The sequence below is a fragment of the Homo sapiens genome, chromosome 11 (assembly GCF_000001405.40).
Source record: "Homo sapiens chromosome 11, GRCh38.p14 Primary Assembly".
NCBI lineage: Eukaryota > Metazoa > Chordata > Mammalia > Primates > Hominidae > Homo > Homo sapiens.
The window spans coordinates 111,465,934-111,488,694 of NC_000011.10; the positions used below are offsets into that span (position 1 = coordinate 111,465,934).

The 22,761-nt window shown below is 37.0% G+C and overlaps 1 protein-coding gene across 18 annotated transcripts in view; it reads right to left on the reverse strand.

Moving 5' to 3' along the window:
• BTG4 (BTG anti-proliferation factor 4) overlaps nt 1–22,761 on the reverse strand; it is a 130,900-nt gene that overhangs the window by 82,108 nt on the left and 26,031 nt on the right. Inside the window, exons 6-7 of one of the 18 annotated variants that reach the window (XR_001747911.3) lie at nt 7,014–7,139; nt 1,495–1,748 (exon numbers count right to left, since the gene is read on the reverse strand). The exons of 14 other annotated variants lie outside the window; for them this stretch is intronic. Coding sequence is in view for 1 of the 4 variants with exons in the window: in NM_017589.4 (NP_060059.1) it covers nt 1,739–1,748 (10 nt within the window). In the remaining 3 variants the exon portion in view is untranslated. Of the gene's footprint in view, nt 1–1,494; nt 1,749–6,982; nt 7,140–22,761 lie in introns of those variants that run through there. 3 more of the 18 variants (XR_947855.3, NM_017589.4, XM_011542879.3) reach the window with 3 other exon arrangements.

The window sequence follows — 22,761 nt, forward strand, 5'->3', positions numbered from 1 at the left end:
AATCTCATTATTAATTCCTCCTTTCTTTGGGTGAAACTAGGAAGGGAATGGCAGAGAAATGAGCTCTCCTTTAAGGGTTCCCAGCCCCACTTCAACCTTCGTCTTGCCATTATACTGGCCTTGTAATTTTGAGAGTAATTTTATATACATTATCTTGTTTATATCTTCTAGTTCTAGAAGATAGTAGAAGGTTATTAATTACTTTTTAATAGATGAGAACTGATGCTCAAAGAAGTTCAGTGACTTTCTTGGGGTCTTATAGAACCTGGGCCAGAACACAGGTCTTCTGACTGCTACTTCAGCAGTCTTCCCTAAACTTTGCTACCAATCCATTCTTTATTGTTCTCTCAAAAACAATTAAAAAAATAGAAATTTTAAATACTCAAGGCCATTACAGACATTCCGTACAGATATTGTAGGGAAGTAAGATTCTTAAATATATTTAACATTTGCTGAATGCTTTCTATGTACTAGACACTGTTCTGAGTATATTACATTTAATGCTCCAAGCAACTCAAGGAAATAGAAGAAGAAAATCTGTTGCCATCTTCTGTGGACCCTCATTCTGTCCTAGCCCCTCTGTTCCTATTGACTGAAAATCATTTTTTCCATAAAGGTGGACAGAAGACCATGTAGCATGATGCATATATAGCACAGGAGGATGGATGGGTGGGTGGATGGATGGATGGATGGATGATAGATGGTTGCAATAAACCTTTTCCTAAATTGAGTTGTGTTGTTAACATATCATTATTGTACAGAAAAGTTAGTGAAATTATTACTGGTTTCTCCTGATCTCTGTAGACCCAAAGAGCTCTCTGCAGGATCTTCTAAAACCTCAGACACTGCAGAAGGAAGAGTTGATAACTGTGCAACCCACTGACCTTTCTGCCAGGGAGTTTGTGGTTTACCAGTATGGCCTCTCCATCCTGCACCTCCTTATCCCCCAGCTTCATGTAAGTCTTGTTTCTGGCCTCTCTATGGAGCAGTTACTCATGGAGCCTAGAAGGTCAGGGTAGCCAGGAAGAAGCCTTTGAGATGGCAGATATTCCCTAGGATTAAGCACCTGGAACAGCAAACTTTCTAGTCTCTCCTTTAAGGGGATTTATGGGAGTTATTTTACCAATCCAAAGTCTAATCTCTCGAATGATATTAATCACAGGTAGAATGAATTAGTCACTTTCTACATGCCAGAAAATATTCTAATAACTTCCATTAATTAACTCATGTAATCCTCAAAAAACCCTATGAGACAGATACTATTATTTTTCCTATTTTAAAATTGAGCAGAACAGACACAGTGGTTACATAAACTTACCCAAGATCACACAGCCAAAAAGGCAGAGCCAAGGTTAAAATCTAGGCATCATGGCTCAAATCTCTCTAGTCTAGTCAAGTTCTATTTAGAAAAGTAGTAAATTGATTGTCATATTTAGCATAAATATTAAATATGCAGTTACTCTTTCCATTTTCCTGTATACTAAGCCTACTTACCCTGTTGCAATTTAAATTAATGCCCCAATGCATTTACTTCTCATCAATTTGGCTGATGCCACGTAGCTGAGATGCATGAGAATTTTTTAGCAAAAGGATAGGTTTGGTTTTGTTTTTTATTCTTTTCAGGCTCCAGAAATCACCCTGAAGATTTCTTCTCATCTTCCTGCCATGGAAGCCCAAGGCAGTGCCTTCCAAGGTGCCTTCTTCTACCAGGTGCTGCAAATTCATTCCCAGATGTGGGTTATAAAATTCTGGGGTCCAGTATAGATAAATGAAAGCAAAAAGAACAAATTTTATAATTTTTTCCTAAAATCCTGACATATTTTATTCCCTCCTGGAAATAAGTCATTTAGCTAAGGCATAATAAATGTCACAGTGTAAGAGCTTTCTCTAATCAGTAAAATGAATATGTTCTGGCTTGTGCCCAGAGAAGCATAATAGCTTGGTGCCCTTTAATAGATCTCTGTCATTATCAAAGCCAGAGGTTCCAGGCTGGTATTTCCTATAAGAGTCATGGTTCCAGCTTCAGAAAATCCTGGACAATCAGCATCTTTCTACAGAAAAGGATCTAAATTGTTCCTGTCCTGGCAGTTCTTCAGATATGTAGATTGGAAGTGCCTTGCTGGTAACTGCCTTAAACACTGATGACAGTCTATTGCTAAACAATTCTGAGAGGAGAAACTGCTCATCGATACTGGAGGGTTAGAAAAAGGTTTATACTTGACTAGTAGGTTGTTGGGGGGTTTAATAAAACCAGAAACTACTCACATATGGTACTCTCCACACATTTCACTTGATCCTCAAAGCAACTCGATGAAATAGACGAGAATTTAATCCCATTTTATGGATGGGTAAACGAACTCAGGTTGTGGTGCAAGTGCCGTGTGCCAGGAACTCAGCCAGGTGCCTTACAGGCATGGTCTCATTTACGACTCACAACACTATGGGGTACTTTTGTTATCTTTGTTTTAGAAATTAGGAAATTGAAGCCCAGAGAGGCTAAGTAACTTCCCCAAGATCACAGAGTTAGCAAGAGTTAAAACTCGAGCCCAGGTGTGTTTGACACCAAAAACTCATAACCATGAGTCTATGCAGCTGCCACTCACAGCTGAGTCAAAGGATAGATCTCAGATTGTCTGATTCCAAACTACCTGAAGTTTTTTCATGCCAACCTACTGTCTCTTAAGAGAATGAACAAGAGAGTTACTTCAAATCAACAGGCAAGAGAGGCGATTTGAAAACTTGATTACAATAAAGGCATGGAAGATGAAGAAAGCCTTGAGAGCCCTCTAAGGCAGTGATTCTCAAACTGTGATCCTTAGACCTCCTGAACCAACCACTTGGGGAACCTGGGAAAAATGGAAGCACATAGACCCCACAGATCCAGGAATTTGGGGATGGGTCTCGAGAACAGAATCACCCCCTTGTGATTCTTATTACACAAAAGTTTGAAAACCACTGCTTAAGGAAACAGTGATTGGAGGATATTGACAAAAGAGATACACAAGTAACTCTGAATTTCTAAGTTTGTTTTCTGTAAGATGGAGGCAGTAGGAAAACTTGGGAGACAGTGGAGCAAATGACTTATTCAGAGAGTTGAACTCAAACAATTTTTCCCCGGTCATCTGAATCTTCCCTTCAGCAAATTTCCATTAGGGCCAGAGAGTATTGTTTTAGACCATGTGCCATAAACCCTGAGAAAGAAACGGGCGGTGGGAATGTTCCCAGGGGCGGACATCTCTGTGTTTGGGTGTTTTCTCCTCTCACAGTGCTGAAAACACACTGTTCATTGGGAGAGAATGTTTGGCCTCTGTGGGAAGCTTTGTTCTGCTGCTGATCCGCTGCCTGGCCCACATCACTGCTGGGGAACCCCACCAGGACTCCAGCCCTGCCTTTCTGGGGTCATTTTACAAGGTATTTATAACATGTACAGGGCATTTTGCTTCTCTTTCTCTGTGACTCAGACCCCGTTCCCCAGGAGAATAAATGCTTTAGGCTTTGCAACATTTCAAATCTACTTGAGTCCCCTTGTGGCCTTTGGTTCCTCCTGCCTGGCCAGGAAGAGGATTTTCCTAATCAGATTTCCCGTGGCAGCATATGACAAAATGCACGTACCACTGCTTCACAGAAGTGGTTTTCCTATGAGCACAGCATCTCAGCTTTCTGTGGCTGTTTAACAGTTCACACATAAACTGCACCAGAACTGCTAAAGACAATGATAACCCATGGTGAGGGCAAGTAAAGATGAGAACTCTCAAGCCCCATTTTTCTTTCAACTATTATTTTAAAGCTTTAACAGCAATTGTATAGAAGCCCTACTGATCTGTCCCCCTTGCCTTCTCTTCCCTTGACCAAGGGCCTGGAGGCCTATTTCAGGGAAGCATTCCCTATCACACTGAGAATGGCAGCAGTTTCCAGGGACAGTAAACTTGACCAAAGCATAAGTGCTATCCTGCTGGAAGAGCAGCCCATCTCTGACAGAGAAAGGGATCTTCTGTCTAAACTCATTGAAATGAAGCATGTATCTCCCTTGGAGCCAGAATCACTAGAAGAGGTAACTAACTTTATCATGTGTATCACATGGTCTTGACTAAAATGGACTTCTTCACAGAGTAAATGCCTCAGTGTATTCAGATATTTCTGACCTCAAGCCACATATGACAATATTTTTTGTTTTGTTTTTGAGACAGGATCTCGCTCCGCTGCCCAGGCTGGAGTGCAGTGATGCCATTACAGCTGACTGCAGCCTTGACCTGCTGAGCTTAAGCGATCCTCCCATCTCACCCTTCCAAACAGGTGCACACCACCATCCCGGCAAATTTTCATAATTTTTTGTAGAGACAGGGTTTTGTCAGGTTGCCCAGGCTGGTCTTGAATGCTTGGGCTCAAGCATTCCACCTGCCTCAGTGTTCCCAAAGTTCTGGGATTACAGGCATGAACCATGGCACCTGGCCTCATGACAATAAAAATCCTATTCTACAGGGCAGACAGTAGTTACATGACTGAGTCATGAGGAGTACAAATGTGGGCTAACTTCATGTCTCACTAATGTATTATCAATAATTAAGCAGAATCCCATCTGTAAAACTGTGACTCATACTAACTTTAGATGCCCAAGTGGCAGCATGTTTACCCAAACTTATGGTGTGCTGTTTTCTGTGCAAGCTTGATAATGATATTCTTAATATCTTGTTAAAGCACTTTTGCCAGGTGCAGTAGTTTACACCTGTAATCTCTGCACTTTGGGAGGCCGAGGCAGAAAGATCACTTGAGCCCAGGAGTCTGAGACCAGCCTGGGCAACACAGTGAGACCCCATCTCTACAAAAATAAAATAAAAATAAATTAGCCGGGCATGGTGGCACATACCTGTAGTCCCAGCTATTCAGGAGGCTGAGGCAGAAGGATCCATTGAGCCCAGGAGTTTGAAGCTGAGGCTGCAGTGAGCTATGATCACACCACTGCACTCTAGCCTGGGCAACAGAGTGAGATCCTATCTCAAAAAATACAATAAAACACTTTTTTGAAAGTATCTCAGCATTTTAACTATTAAAAATAAAAATCATAAAATTTAAGTCTATGATAAGAAAAATATCATCCTGCACTAAAGGTTAATTCATTCTTATGAACAAGAACATATCATGTTTCAATATTTATATCAAACTATAATTTTCAAAGCCACTTTTATATATAGTGTCACTCGATCCACCCAACAAGCCTGCAAAGTAGGTAGTGTCTATACTTTTAGCCACATTATTGAAAAAGAAGATAAGGAATTTGCCCAAAGTTATAAAGCTATTTGTAGTGGTGGATCTGAGACTAGATTCTAGATTTCCTGAATCCTGCTAAGTAATTGTCCCGTACACATATCTCCATCATTGAATCTCTATTAGTTACTAAGGCAGATTTATTTTGTGGGTTTGATAATGATGTCGGTAATCCAGACCACAGAATTCTGTTGGACCCCAATTCCCACAAATCACAGAGAACAGTCCATTTTCTGTGCTCATCCATCAGCAGCATTTGACATATCTGACCATATTCTCCTCCTTGACATATTTTTTTCATTTGGCTCCCAAGACACTGGCCTCCTCTGGTTTTCCTCCTTCTCTGATTGTTCCTTCTCAGTCTTCTTTGCTGATCCCTGCTCTTTTCTCCGGCCTCTTAATGTTGGAGGGCCAGGACTCAGTCCCGTCCCCTTCTCCAGTCTATATTTTCTGCCCTTGAAGGTCTCTTCTAGTCTTCCAGCTTTAAATCTCATCTATATGTCAATGACCCTCAAATTTCTATCTTCAACCCCAATTCTCTAACCCATACCTCCAACTGTTTATTGGCCATCTCCACCTGACTGTTTCAAACTCAACATGTCCAAAACGCAATTTTTAATTTCTTTCCAAACCTGCTCCACTCAAAACCTTCCCCCATCTCAACTGATAGAAACTGTTCTTCAGGTTTTTCAGGCCAAAGCATCCCTTGAAACTCATCTGTTACACACACCCACAACCAATCCATCAGGAAATCCTGTTGTTCTACTTTCAAAGCATATCTAGAATCCAACCACTGCTCATCAACTACAATACCACCCTTGTGAAAAGGCCACCATTGCCTCTTGCCCGGATTACTATAATCCTTACTAATGGCTTCCTCAAGTCCACCCTTGTTTCTCTTCAGCCTACTTGCAACACAGCAAAGTGATCCTTTCAAAATGGAAATTGGATCTGCTCAAAATCTGCTGTGTCTCCCCAATTTACTCAGAGCAAAAGCCAAATAATATTGTCATGAGGCCTTATATCTCACTCTCTTACCTACTACCCTTCCCCTCATTCACTCAACTCCAACCACACTTTCCTCCTCACTGTTCTTCAAGCACTAGGGACACTTCTCTCGAGGGTTCCCTGTGCCTGGAATACTCTTTCCCCTAGGGCAGTGTTTCTCACCCAGGAGGAATTTTTGTCCCCCAGGGGATATTTGGCAATACCTGGAGATGTTTTTGATTGGCATGACTCAGGAGAAGGGGTTGCCACTGACAACTAGTGGGTAGAGGCCAGGGATGCTGCTAAACAGCCTACAGTGCATGGGACAGCTCCCAGAGCAAAGAGTTACTCATCCCAAAATAGTGCCAATCCTGGTCTACCCCTGACTCCCTTACCTCCTTCTTATCTTGGTTCAAATATCACCTTCTCAATGAGGCCTTCCCTGACTATCCAATCTTAATTTGCAACTCTTTTCCCCCTACTCAGCAGCTTTCTCTTAAGTTTTCCTATATCCTTTCCTAACACACTACATAATTTACTTACACTTGTTATTACTTTCCTTCCTCAGCTGGAATGTAAGCTCCATGAGGGCAGAGAGATTTGTTTCATTTCCTGATGTAGGCCATGTGCCAGGCTCACAGTAGGCTTGAGATGTATTTACTGTGTTAATGAACAAGTAGATTTATATGGGCCCTGATGCAATATACTGAAACCACAATCTACCTGAGCTAACTATAAGACAGATAATAGCAAACATTTATTACCTTGCCATGTGCTACATGCCATGTTATGATTGAGAGTTTTACATACATCATCTCACTTAATCTTCTCATGCTCTTATAAGGTGGAAGCCACTCTTATTCCTAACTTATGGATGAGGAAACCGAGGCCTAGAAGTGAAAAAAAAAAAAACACCAAACTTGCCTAAGACATAGCAATAGTTGTGGAGCTGGAATGTTAGTCCTCTGCTAACCACCCCCTATGAAGAGATATTGCTTTAATTTAAAAGCAAAATTGTACATAGTACTCTCAGGTCCACATTCTGGCTAACAAGATCCAAGGGCACTTAAAATAAATGGTAACAAGAGTATTAACTCTGTCTTCCACATTCTCTACAGTATATTCATAAAAACAAAGATCTTCTGCTCTTCACCAGTATGGAACATTTCCTAAAAAGCATCCTCGCTGCAGAACAACAAATCCTAAGAAAACCAAGAAATCAATTTGGGAGTGAAGATAAGGTGAGATACCCTTATGATCAATAGCATTAAGATAACAATTAGCTATATGCCAACTATTATTTATTATTGTGTTTGGACCATATTTATAATTGAACATGTCCACAGAATAAAAGGTTGGAAATGAGTGATGGTATGAATAAGTGGCATCACTTCCTTTAAGAGCTTCTCCTACAACAACAGAGGGTGGATCTTATATTTCAGAAAGGATCCAAGAGAGCATAGAGCATTGGTCATCAGGGAAATTTAAAACTACATTGAGATACCACACACCAGAAAAATGAAAATAGTAAAAAAGTTGTAGTTTAAAGCATAGTTTATCCCTTTCCCTTTAGGCAGGTAACATATTAATCCTAGAGAGAAGGAACTGAGGATTAGACTTGCCCCCATTCATCAAGCTGGAGGAGAACAAAAAGTAGCTAGAACATGGGTCCACTGTCTTCTCATTCAGGGTTTCTTCCACTACACCACAAAGATACCAACTGCTGTTTTACAAAAGTTTATTTTTAATCCTAAGCATTTAAAATGTTGTATCTTTAAAAATCACACGTTTTGGTTCCAAATCATCACTAATATTTTGTAAGGTCAATGGAAAATATTAGCAAAGAGAGAACCCCAAAGTCTTCATCTTCCCCATGCACAGTAGAGACCTATCATGTCAAGATCAAGATCAGAAACTAGCAACCTAGAGAAATAACCAGGCACTGACTCCTCCTGGGCCCCAATCCACTTTATTTAAAGTTATTGCCAGTGTCTGGGATGAAAACTTTTAAACCTTTATTAAAATAACAGCTTTAAAAGTGAACAGATAATAAATTTATACCTCAACGAGTTGTCCAATGTGAATACTCCCATATAACCAGCCCCAGATCAAGAAATAGAACATCACCAGTTCTTTAGAAGCAGCTTATGCCTCCTTCTAGTCACATGTTCCAAGATAGAGTAACCACCATCCTGACTTCAAACATCATCAATAGTTTTCGCTTATTCATGAACTTCATATAAATGGAACCATAAGATATGAGTTACTTTATTGCTTATTTTGCTCCACTTTCTGAGATTCATTCACATTGTGGGAGGTAGTTGTAGTTTGTTCATTCTCTTTGCTATAAACTATCCCACTGTGTAGATACATTACTACTTACTCATTCAACTGTTGATGCATATGTGGGTATTTTCCAGTTTGGGATTATTACAAAACAGCCTTGCACACCTTCTGGTGATGATACATAACTATATTTAGCCAGGTACATACTTAGGACTAGAAATCTTGGGTCTTAGGACATGGATATGTTCAGTGTTAGTAGATACTACCAACTAGAGTTCCAAACTATTTACTGCCAACAGTGAAGGTTCTGGTTGCTTTCCATTTCTATCAGCACTTAGTATTTTACATCTTTTTTACTGTTTTCATTTTTCTGGTGTGTGGTATCTCAATGTAGTTTTAAATTTCCCAGATGACCAATGAAACTGAGTGTTTTTCATGTTGATATACCATTTAGATACCTTCTCTTGTAAAGTGCCTAATCCAGTCTTTTGCCCATTTTCCATTAGATTGTGCCTATTTTTTTTCTTGCTGATTTGTAGGAATTATTTATTCTGCAACTATTTCCCCCATTTTGTGGACTGTCTTTATAAAACAACTATATAATGTTTATTTTTTCCATTTTATTTTTAGATCTAGAAAGAAAATGGTAATCTCATTTCAGTCTGCATTATTAAAAGGTCTTAAATACATCACTACAACATCTGATGAAGCTGATAAGAATTATTGGAAAATCTATAATATTCATGGTAAAACACATAAATGTGTATCATAGTTTTAAGTGTATATATAATAGGGGCTAATATTTGCCACAGAGGTTGAGGACCCCTGCTCACTGTGACTAAAATTTTCAGTGTGACTAAAAGATCATTAGATCACGTATCTTATTAAAATATGTATTAAAGATATTGACTAAAACTTTCTGGGAATGTAAAACTTGTATATGTCATTATTCAATCAGGCTAAGGTTGTCTATTACTGAATCACAAAGTAGATGGATATATATATATAATATTTGGTGATCTAGAATGTGTACTTAAAATATAGGCCATGTCACACAAAATTCACTTTGGAGGCCCTGGTTGAAACACCACAAAGAGATAAGCAGTCATCTGAAAGTGAAGTTTTGGAGTGCTGATCAGGAGATACAACACCATCACATGAATTTAGGTTAAAAAAAATCCAGATACAAACTTCAACTCAAAAGCTGCTCAGATTACAAAGCCAATGCTTGAAATTCAAACTGCTTCTCACATGGATAATTCTGTATCATGCCCTGTATTTATCTGTTCTCATGCTGCTAATAAAGACATGCTTCAGACTGGGTAATTTATAAAGGAAAGAGGTTTAATTGACTCACAGTCCCACATGGCTGGGGAGACCTCACAACCATGGCTGAAGGCAAATGAGGAGCAAAGTCACATCTTACATGGCAGCAGGCAAGAGAGCTTGTGCAGCGGAACTCCCATTTATAAAACCATCAGATCTTGTGAGACTTATTCACCACCACAAGAACAGTATGGGGGAAACCACCCCCCATGATTCAATCACCTCCACTCGACCCCAAGGAAGGATCTCTTAACACATAGGGATTACTACAATTCAAGGTGAGATTTGGGTGGGGACACAGCCAAACCATATCATGCACCAAGAGAAGTACCAGAATAGATACACACACACACACACACACACACAATAAAATATTTGTTAACAAGTCTCCTAAGCAATGCAAGGAAGATAGACGATAGACTACTAAAGAATTAAAGCTTTCTTTTTAAAAATATTATTTGGGTAGATAATGAAAGATGACTAATTTATGAATTCAGTGTCCATCTGGTATTCAACATTTTTAGCTCTGTAGGTCTTTTGTCATAATTAAGAGACATCCATACATGGCTGAGGATTTAGCTGTCAATCCAACTGATGAAAATACTAATGGTAGATTACTTTCAAGAAAATAAAATAAAAACAGTGAAATAACATGAAAAGAAGATTTACAATTAAGTTAAACAAGGATTTTTAAATCAAGCTATCAGGAACTTCTGCTCAGAATCAAGTCACTACATCTAACTCCTCTATTTTGAGTTTTTTGTTGTTAGAATTGGCTACTTAGTCATCTTAATTCAGCTCACATAGTTAGATTAGTCATCAGGTAAGTACCAAATTAGACAGCCTTAAAAATACCTCATTAGTTACCATTTTGATTGAAATCGTGCTTTCATGGCACAGATACTAATAAAATGGTAAAATAGTCATTGCCCATAAGACGGGCTATGAGGGAGCTGTCCTCCCATTTATTCCATTAACAGGGAATTCTTAAACAGAGCACGCCCTCAAACCAATGCATAACTTTATAAGATTAAAGACTCTCTAGTATTTTAAGAAGAAGGCAAGTCTTAGTTTGATTTAATATTGGGTATGTGTCTTCAAGAACTTTATTTAGCTACCCACATAAATTATGAAATGTATTTCCCAGAAAGCAGAGTGAAGATTAATTAAGCCAGACACACAAGACTATTTAGGATAGTTAAGCCACGAGTCCAGGGCCCCTGGGAGAGGTGGCAAAGAAAAAGTAGTACAGAACTTAAAGACCTTTTTTCTATATTCCTCATTCTTGGCTGATCAAGGCATCTACCAGGACATGATCCTATTAATTTCCTGGCTGACTTCTTGGGCTCTGTGTCTTATTTCCATTAATACACTAACAGCTGCAGGCTTTTAGTAAGCACATGCTTTTTAATGGAAATGCCACAGATTACAAGACAGGGATCATGTTCTCCTTACTGCTGCATTATGCGTTTTTATTGCTGAATCAAATCAATAGCAAGTTCTTTTTTAAAATCGACATTCTAGTTATCTGTAAGGAACAAGCTTGTGTACACACACACACAGCCCACTGACTAGAAAACAGATAAGAAAACCTCAATAAATGTAGAAGCCATATTTACCAACTATTATCAAAAAAGACCCTTTTCCAAAAATATATTCAATTGTCTTAAGATTTATTATTTCAAAAGTGATACATAGAATTCTATCTTTGAGGAAGATGGGATAGGTGTTTTTTCTGTACTCCTCCCACTAAGAACAACTAAAATCCCTGGGCAATACACATAAAAGAAAGAAGATAAGACTCTGAAAGGTGTAGAGAAGAAGGCAGACTGGCTAGGGAACCTCAGATTCCAAGGGAAGATATGGAGGTGAGTTCTAAAGATTTTCTTTCCCCATCGTATATTCCAGACTTGGAAATAAAGAAGCCAGCAACCCATAAATACCAATGGTAACCAACCAAAAGAGACCACAAAAGCCTGCTCTTTAGCGAAAGGACCAGGAAAGGGACAGCGCAGCAAAAAAGAAAACTTTAACAATAAATCCTATAAACTAACAAAACAACAAGAAAAAACTGGCCCTACCCACACCAGCATAAGTTGAATGGGGAGTCTAGAGCTCCATCTTTGCCAGTATGGATCAAGTCATCCCAGCCTCCTGCTAGGTTGGTATCAGAGACGACCGAGCAGAGAACTGGGAATTTTCATCCCCACAGGGTAGTTCAAACCCTCCTCCACCTCATGGTATCAGTAGAAACCACATAGAAAGTCTAGACATCCCCACACCTGGCAGTAATAACCTCTCCCCTCCCTGCAGCTGCCATCACCACCACCACCTCCCTGCTGTAGTGGAATCAGAGGAGGACAAGTAGAGAGTTAGGGCTTATGCCATTGTCCAGTGATAATGAGGCCACCCTGGCCTCAGTGTTAGTGGAAGCCACATAAGGAGCTAGAACTCCTATACCTGCCCAGCAGTAATGAGAGACCCTTTCTTGGGTATTAATGGAGGCCAAGAGGGAAACCCGGACTTTTACTTCCACTAGGAAGTAGCAAAGCAGCACTCCCTTCTCTCCCCCACTGGAATAGGGTCAAAGGAAACCAGTTGAAACAAAGTTTAAATAAAATCCCAAGTCTCATGGTATCAAAAGCATCCAGGTTTGGCAAAAATCATTCATCACACTAAAAACCAGAAAGATAAACAAAGAGTGAGGAGAAAACCTAATCAACAGATTACAACACCAAGATGACAAAGATGTTAGAATTATGACAAAGATTTTAAAGGAGCATCAGAAAAGTGCTTCAACAAGCGATTATGAACATGCTTGAAACAAATGAGATAAGTCTCAGCAACGAATGGTAAAGTCACAGCAAAAAAATCGAAGACAGAACTAAATGAACGTTTTAGAAATGAAAAATGTAAAAACTAAAATATAAAGCTTCGTGAATAGGCTCAACAGTAAAACGGAAGAGATAGAGGAAAAATCATCAATGTTTTTAGATAGAACAATCAAAAATTATTTAATCTGAATGAAAGAGAAAAAAAGACTGAGGAAATGAATGCATAGAGCACCAGGGGCATATGGTACTATAGCAAAAGATGGAGCATTCAAGTAATCAAAGACTCAGAAAGAGAAAAGAAAGGGGTAGGCTGAAAAAAAATACTCAGAGAATAGCTGAAAACTTTCCAAATTTGGAAAGAGATATAACCCCACAGATTTAAAAAGCTGAATGAATCCCAAACAGGAAAACCCAAAGAACTCCACACCACCACATCATAATTAAATTTCTGAAAACAAAAAGCAAAGAAAAAATCTTGAAAGCAGCCAGAGAAAAATGACACCCTACCACTAGAGGAAAAACAACTGGAATGACAGCAACCTTCTCATCAGAAACCAGGAAGCCAGGAAGAAGTGGCACAATATTTTTCTAATGCTGAATGAAAAGAGCTGTCAACCCAAAATTCTATACAAAGGGAAATATTCTTTAAGAATGAGAAGGAGAAACAATACATTCTCAGATGAATCAAAGCTAAGAATAAGCCGGGTGCAGTGACTCATGCCTGTAATCCCAACACTTCTGGAGGCCAAGGTGGGAGGATCATTTGAGCCTAGGAGTATAAGACGAGCCTGGACAACAGAGTGAGACCCTGTTCTCTATTTTTAAAAAAGAGCTAAGAATATATCAAGCATAACTCACCTAAAAGAATGGCTAAATGAAGTTCTCTAAATAGAAGGGAAACAAAAGAAAGAACTTGTAACATCAGGAAGGAAGAACACAGGAAGTGAAATTATGGATAAATATGATAGACTTTCCTTCTCTTGAGTTTCTAAATTATGTTTAACAGTTGAAGTGAAAACTATAACATGGTCTATTATAGCTCTAAATATATGTAGAGGAAATATTTAATGCAAGTATATTATAAATGGGGGAAGATAACAAGACAAAGGGAAGTAAGGTTTTTATATTTTACTTGAACTTATAAAATAACACTGGTAGACTGTGGCAAGTTACATACATATAATGCAATACCTAGAGCAACCACTAAAAAAGCTATACAAAGAAATATGCTCAAAAACACTAAAGATATGCCAAAATGAAATTCTAAAAAGTGTTCAAGTAACCCACAAGAAGGTAAGGAACAGAAAATTGAGAAATGAAAAAGAACAGAAAACAAAAACTAAGTGGTAAACTCGAGGCCTAACATATTTATAATTGCAATAAATGCAAATAGTCTAGAAACACCAGTTAAGAGACAGAAATTGGTAGAGTGAACTAAAAATAAGACACAATATGCCATCTACAAGAAACTCACCTCGAATATAATAAAATAAGCATATTGAAAATAAAAAGATCAAAAATAGATACTATGCAAACATTAATCAAAAGAAAGCAGGAATGGCTATATTAATATCAGATAAAGCCGACATCACAGCAAAGTAGATTACCAGAAACAGGAACATTACATAATGATGAAAGGGTCAATCTACCAAGAATACATAGCAGTCCTAAATGCTTATATACACAACAGAACTGCAACACATGTGAAACACAGAGAAACGGACAAATCACAATTATAGTTGGAGACTTCAATACCTCCTCTCAGCAATTTATAGAACTAGACAGAAAATCAGCAAGGATATAAAAGAACTCGACACCATCAATCAACATTATCTAATTAACATTTATGGGACATTCCCCCCAACAACAACAGGATGTACATTCTTTTCAAGTGCCCACAGGATATGCATCAAAAATCATATCCTGGGGCATAAACAAACCTCAACAAATTTTTTTAAATTGAAAACATGCAGAGTGTATTGTCCAACCAGAACAGAACCAAATTAGAAATAAATAACAAAAACCGGTAAATCTCCAAACACTTAGAAACTAAACAAAATACTTCTAAATAATCCAATGGTTAAAGAAGTCTTAGGGAAATAAAAGATACATTGAAATGAATATCAAAGAAAATACAACATATCAAAATTTACAACACACAGCTAAAGCAGTGCTGAGAGGCAAATTTATAATACTAAGTATATACATTAGAAAAGAGGGAAAGTGTCAATTCAATAATCTTAGCTTCTACCCCAAAAATCTAGAAAAAGAGTAAAATAAACCCAAAGCAAGCAGAAGAAAGGAAGTAATAGCAAAAATAAATGAAACTAAACACAAAACAATAGAAAAAAACACAGTAAAGCAAAGAGCTATTTCTTTGGAAAGGTCAATAAAATTGACAACCCTCTAGAATTAAACCCTCTGACAATTAAAAAGAAAGTGAAGACACAAATTACCAATATCAAGAATGAATGTAGGGATACCACTGCAGACCTGCAGACACCAAAAGGATAATAAGGAAACACTATAAACAACTCCACATGCATAAATTTCAGAGATAAAATAGGCTAATTTGTTAAGAAACACAAAGTATTACAACTCACCCAATATGACACATATTATTTAAATAATCCTAAAACTATTAAGGAAATTGAATTTATAATTTTTTGATTTCCAAGGAAGAAGTCTCCAGGCCCAGATAGCTTCATAATATAATTCTACCAAACATTTAAAAATAGGATTAACATCAACTCTATGCAATTTCTTCTATAAAATAGAAGAGCATTACATTCTGATCTACTTTATGAAGTGTTTACAGTATGTATATAATAAATTACATATTGTACTATATATTTATAGTATTACTCTGATAACAAAACCAAAGATAGTACAAAAAATTAGAACTGTAGACCAATATATTTCATGAATATAAATGTAAAAACCCTTGAAATATTAGCAAATAAATTTCAGCAATATATAAAATGAATTATATGCCATGATCAAGTTGGGTTTATTTCATGGATGCAAAGCTGGTTCAGTATATTTTTTAAAAAAATCATAGTAATCCACATGTCAATAGGCTAAAGAAGAAAAATTATATGATTATATAAATGGATGCAGAAAAAGCATTTCACAAAATCCAACATCCATTTATGATTAAAACCCTCAAAAAATGGGACTAGAAGGGAACTTCCTCAATTTGATTTTTTTAAAAGGTAGTATCTACAAAATTGATGAGTATCTACTTAATGGTGAAGGATTGCTTTCTCCCAAAAAAAGGAACAAGTCAAGGATATCTGTTCTTAGCACTCCTATTCAACATAGAGCCAAAAGTTACACCCATGAAAAGCACAAAAAAAAGAAATAAAATGCATCCATATTGGGAAAGAAATAAATAAAACTATCCCTATGCAGATGACATGATTGTCAATACAGAAAATCCCAAGCAATCTACACAGAGATAAAAAAAATTCCTGGAATAACTAAGTTCAGCAACATCTAGAAAGGACAAAAGGAAAACACACAAAAATCACCTGTATTTCTATATATTACCAATGAACATATGGATACTGAAACTAAAAATATAACACCATTTATAATTGATCAAAAAATGAAATTCTTAGATATAAATCTAAAAATCATGTACAAGAGTTGTATAACACACACACACGAAGAAATTGATCTAAATAAATGGAGAAACATATTGTGTTCATAAATTGAAATACTCAACATAGTAGAGACATCCTTTCTCTCCAGATTGATATATAGGGTGAATACAATTCCTTTCAAAATCTCAGCAAGATTTTTCATAGATATAGACAAGATCATTCCAAAATGTACATGGAAAGGGAAAGAAACTGGAATAGCTAAAGTAATTTTTAGAAAGAATAAAGTGGGAAGAATCTATCCAGTTTCAAGATTTACACAGCTACAGTAATCAAAACTGTGTGGTGTTGGCAGAAGAATAAACACACAGGCCAAGAACACAGAACACAGAAATACACCCACAGTGATATACTCAACTGAATTTTCACAAAGATGCAAGAACAATTTGATGGAGGAAAGATAGTCTTTTCATTTTAACAAATGGTGCTGGAGTAAGTGGATATTCATAGAGGAGAAAAAAGCACTTTAATCTAAGTCTGGTATCTCATACAAAAAATTAACTCAAAATAGATGGCAAACTAAATGTAAAACATAAAACTTTAGAAAAAAAAAAACTTCAGGATCTAGAGCTAGGCAAAAAGCTCTAAAACTTGACACCAAATCATGATCTATAAGAGAAAAATGAATGAATTCGACTTCATCAAAATTAAAAGATTTTGATCTGTGAAAGACGTCATTAAGAGGATAAAACACAACGTAGAAGTCTGAGCAAGATGGCCTAATAGAACCCTCTAGCAAGCATCCCCCTACAGGAACACCAAATTGAACAACTACCCATGCAAGAAAGCACCTTCGCAAGAACCAAAATAACCCAGCCCACCAAGGCAGTTCCTCAAGGAGCCAGCAGAAATTGCAGCATTCCTGTGCTTAGGGTACACCCCAGTGCTGATACACCTGCAGTGACCACAAGCTTAGATCACAACACTCAATCCCCTTTTAATATGTGGAAAGCCTTCTCAAGAAGGGCAGGTACAAATAAATCCAGATTACAAAGATTGGAATACTTAATTCTTCAATGCCCAAACATTGATGAGTGGCCACAAGCATCAACAACATCCAAGAAAACATGACTTCACTAAATAAACTAAATTAGACACCAGTGACCAATCCCACAGTGATGAAGATATCATCTTTCAAACAGGGAATCAGAATCACCACCTTGAGGAAGCTCAGCAACATAGATAAAAAGATAACAGAGAAGGAATTGAGAATTCTTTCAGAAAATTCAACAAAAAGATTGAAATAATTTGTTTTAAATCAAGCAAAAATTCTGGAGCTAAAAAATTCAACTGATAAACTGAAAAATGCATCAGAATCAACAGCAAATTGACCAAGCTGAAGAAAGAATCAGTGAGTTTGAGTCAGGCTACATGAAAACAGACAGTCAGAGAAGAGAAAAGAATAAAAAAGAAGCACACCTACAAGATCTAGAAAATAGCCTCAAAACAGCAAATCTAAGAGTTATTACCCTTAAAGAGGACAGACAAAGAGAGACAGAGAGAAATATCAGGGTAGAAAGTTCATTCAAAGAAATGACAGAAATTTCCAAGCCTGGAGACATGAATATCCAAGTACAAGAAGGTCATAGGACACCAAAAAGATTCAACCTAAATAAGACTATCTCAAGGTATACAATAATGAAACCCTTAAAGAACAAGGATAAAGAATCCTAAAAGTAGTAAGAGAAAATAAGCAAATAACATAGAAAGGATCTCTGGTATATCTGGCAGCAGACATCTTCATGGAAATCTCACAGGCCAAGAGAGTGGAATGACATTCAAAGTGCCAAAGAAAAAAGAAAGTCTAACCTAGAATATCATATCTAGCAGAATTATTCTTCAAACATGAAGGAGAAATACTTTCATAGAAAAACAAAAGCTGAGGGATTTCACCAACACCAGACCCACCTTACAAGAAATCTAAAGAAAGCTATTCAATCTGAAAAAAAGGGATGTTAATGAAAAAGAAGTAATTTGAAGATATAAAAATTACTCGTAAAAGTACACAGAAAAATAAATACACTAACACTGTAGTTGCTCTAACAGTATAGTTGCACTAACAGTGTCATATAAACCACTTGTATCTTTCATAGGAAGACTAAAAGACAAATCTATCAAAAATAATTACAACTACATTTTAATAGATACACAGTATAAAAAGATAAATAAAGAGATCAAAAAGTGAAAGCAGGGGGTAGGGAGGAGATGGAGTTCAAGTGTAGTGTTTTAATTTTATCTTTGCTTTGCTTTTCTTTGTAATCACAGTTGTCACCATTGTCACCATTTTTAAATTGGTTAATAAATGCTATTTGCAAGCTTCACGGTAATGGCAAAGCAAAAACCTGTAAGAGATACACACACAAAAAAAAAGGAAATTAAGACATACTGTCAGAGGGAATCACTTTTACACAAAGAAAGACAGGAAGGAAAGAGGACCAACAAAACAACCAGAAAACAAACAAAATGGCAGTAGTAAGTTCTTACCTATCAATAACAACACTGAAATTTAAATGGACTGAATTCTCCAATCAAAAGACATACAGTGGCTGAATGGAGTTTTTAAAACACCCAACTACATGCTGCCTGCAAGAAACTCATATCACCTATAAAGGCACACATAGACTGAAAAAGATATTCTATGCAAATGGAAACCAAAAAAGCAGGAGAAGCTACAGTTATCAGATAAAATAGATTTCAAGACAAAAACTGTAAAAGAGACAAAGGAGGTCATTATACAATGATAAGGGGGTCAATTCAACAAAAGCATATAACAATTATAAATATATATGTACCCAACACTGGAGCACCCGGATTTATAAAGAAAATATTACTGGAGCCAAAGAGAGATGGACCTCAATACAATATCTGGGAATTTCAACACGCCACTTTCAGTATTGGACAGATGACCCCAATAGAAAATCAAAGAAACACTGGACTTAATCTGTACTGCACACCAAAAGGACCTAACAGACATTTACAGAACATTTTATCCAACTGCTGCAGAATACCCATTCTTCTCCTCAGCATATGGAACATTCTCAAGGACAGACCATATGTTAGGCCACAAAACAAGTCTCAAAAATTTTTTAAAAAATGAAATCATATCAACTACTTTTTCCAACCACAGTGGAATAAAACTAGAAATCAATAACAAAGGAAACTTTGGAAACTGTACAAACACATGGAAATTTTAAAATATGCTCCTAACCGACCATGAGGTCAATGAAGAAATTAAGAGAATATAAAAATGTATTGAAACAAATGAAATACAACATTCCAAAACCAATGGAATACAGCAAAAGCAGTACTAGGAGTGCTAGTTTATAGCAATAAATGCCTCCGTCAAAAAATAAGAAAAACTTCAAATAAACAATCTAACAATGCATCCTTGAAGAACTAGAAAAGCAAGAGCAAACCAAACTCAAAAACCAGTAGAAGAAGTGAAAGATCAGAGCAGAAGTGAATGAAATTGAGACTTTAAAAAAATACAAAAGAACAAAATGAAAAGTTGGTTTTTTGAAAAGATAAACAAAATTGACAAACCTTTAGCCAGATTAAGAAAAAAGATCTTTCCTGTAGGAGTAGCTAAAAAGGAAAAAAGAGAGAAGAACCAAACAAATAAAACCAGAGATGAAAAGGGAGGCATTACAACTGATACCACAGGACAACTATGCATCAATAAATTGGAAAACCTAGAAGAAATGGATAAATTCTTAGACATACAACCTGTCAAGATTGAAACCTGAAGAGATCCAAAACCTGAATAGACCAATAACAAGTAATGAGATAGAAAGCTTTTTACTACTGCTTCTATCAAAGAAAAGCCCAGGACCTAAAGGCTTCACTGCTGAATTCTACCAAACATTTAAAGAACTATGATGCCTGTAATCCCAGCACTTTGGAAGGCCAAGGTGGGTAGATCACTTGAGCCCAGGAGTTCAAGAACCAGCCTGGGCAACATGGTGAAACCCCATCTCTACAAAAACTCAAAAATTAATCAGACACGGTGGTGTGCACCTGTAGTCATAGCACCCAGGAAGCTGAGGCAGGAGGATTGCTTGAGCCTGGGAGGCAGAGGTTGCAGATCACACCAAGATCACACCCCTGCACTCCAGCCTAGGTGATAGAGTAAGACCCTGCCTCCAAATAAATAAATAAATACACACATACATACTATTCATACTATTCTAAAAAATTGGGCTAAAAAATTGAGCAGAAGGTAATACTTCCAAACCCATACTATGAGGCCAGTATTACTTGGATATCAAACCCAGACAAAGATACAACAGAAAAAAGAAAACTACAGGCCAGTATCTCTGATGAATATAGATGCAAAAATCCTCAGTGAAATACCAGCAAACTGAATTCAATAGCACATTAAAAAAGTATTCATCATGATCATGATCATGTGGGATTCATCCCAGGGATGCAAGGATAGTTAAACATATGCAAAAAATAATGTGATATATCACATTAAGAGAATCAAAGACAAAACCACATGCTTTTAATTGATTTTTTTAAATATTTAATTTTATTTCAAGTTTGGTGATACATGTGCAGGACGTGCAGGTTTGTTATATAGGTAAACATGTGCCATGGTGGTTTGCTGCACCTATCAACCCATTACCTAGGTATTAAGCCCCCCATGCATTAGCATTTTATCCTGATGCTCTCCCTCCCCCCGCCTCCTCCCTGACAGGCCCCAGTGTATGTTGTTCCCCTCCCTGTGTCCACGTGTTCTCATTGTTCAGCTCCAACTTATGAGTGAGAACATGCAGTGCTTGACATTCTGTTTCTGTGTTAGTTTGCTAAGGATAATGGCTTCCAGCTCTATCCATGTCCCTGGAAAAAACATGATCTTTCCTTTTTATGGCTGTGTAGTATTCCATGGTGCATATGTACCACATTTTCTTTATCCAGACTATCATTGATGGGCATTTAGGTTGGCTCCATGTCTTTGCCATTGTGAATAGTGCTGCAATAAACATACACGTGAATGTATCTTTATAATAGAATGATTTATATTCCTTTGGGTATATACCCAGTAATGAAATTCCTGGGTCAAATGGTCATATGATAATTTTGATCGATGCTGAAAAAGCACTCAAAATTCAACATCCCTTCATTTTTAAAATACTCAACAAATTGGGTATAGAAGGAACATACCTCAAAATCATAAAGCCACATATGACAAACCCACAGCTAGGATCATACTGAATGGGAAAACTGAAAGCCTTTTCTCTAAGATCTGGAACAAGACAACGATGCCCACTTTCACCATTTTTATTCAACATGGTGCTGGAAGCCCTACCCAGAACAACTAGATGAGAGAAAGAAATAAAGGGTATCCAAATTGGAAAGAAAGAAGTCAAATTATCATTCCTTGCAGACGATATAGTCTTATATTTAGAAAAACCTAAAGACTCCACACCAAAAATCTATTGAAACTGAAAAATAAATTCAGTAAAGTTGCAGGATATAAAAATCAACATACAAAAATCAGTATCATTTCTATATGCTAACAGTAAACAATCTGAAAAAGAAACCAAGAAGCTACTCCCATTTACAATAGCTACAAATAAAATACCTAGGAATAAACTTAACCAAAAAAGTGAATGATGTCCACAATGAAAACTATAAAATATTAATGAAAGAAATTGAAGAGCACACAAAAAATGGAGACGTTCCATGTTCATGGACTGGAAGAATCAATAGTGTTAAAATGTCCATGGTACCCAAAGCAGTCTACAGATTCAATGCAATCCCTATCAAAATACCAATGACATTCTTCACAGAAATAAAAAAAAATTCTAAAATGTATATGGAATCACAAATGACCCAGAACAGCCAATGCCATCCTAAGCAAAAAAGAGCAAAACTGAAGGAATTATGTAACCTGACTTCAAATTATACTACAGAGCTATAGTAACCAAAACAGCATGGTACTGGCATAAGAACATACACATTGACCAACGGAACAGAATAGAAAACCCAGAAATAAGTCCATGCATTTATAGTCAACTCATTTTCAACAAAGGTGCAAAGAACATACACTAGGGACAGTCTCATCAATAAATAGTGTGGGGAAAACTGGATATCCATACACGAAAGAATGAAACTAGACCACTATCTCTTGCCATATGTAGAAATCCAGTAAAGATGGATTAAGAACTTAAATATAAGATCTGAAACTATGAAACTACTAGAAGAAAACATTGGGAACATGTTCTAGAACATTGGTCTGGGCAAAGGTTTCTTGGGAAGACCTCAAAATCAGGCAACCGAAACAAAAATGGACAAATGAGATCACATCTCGCTAAAAAGCTTTGCACAGCAAAGGAAATAATCAACAAAGTGAAGAGACAACTCACAGAATAGGAGAAGATATTTACAAACTACCC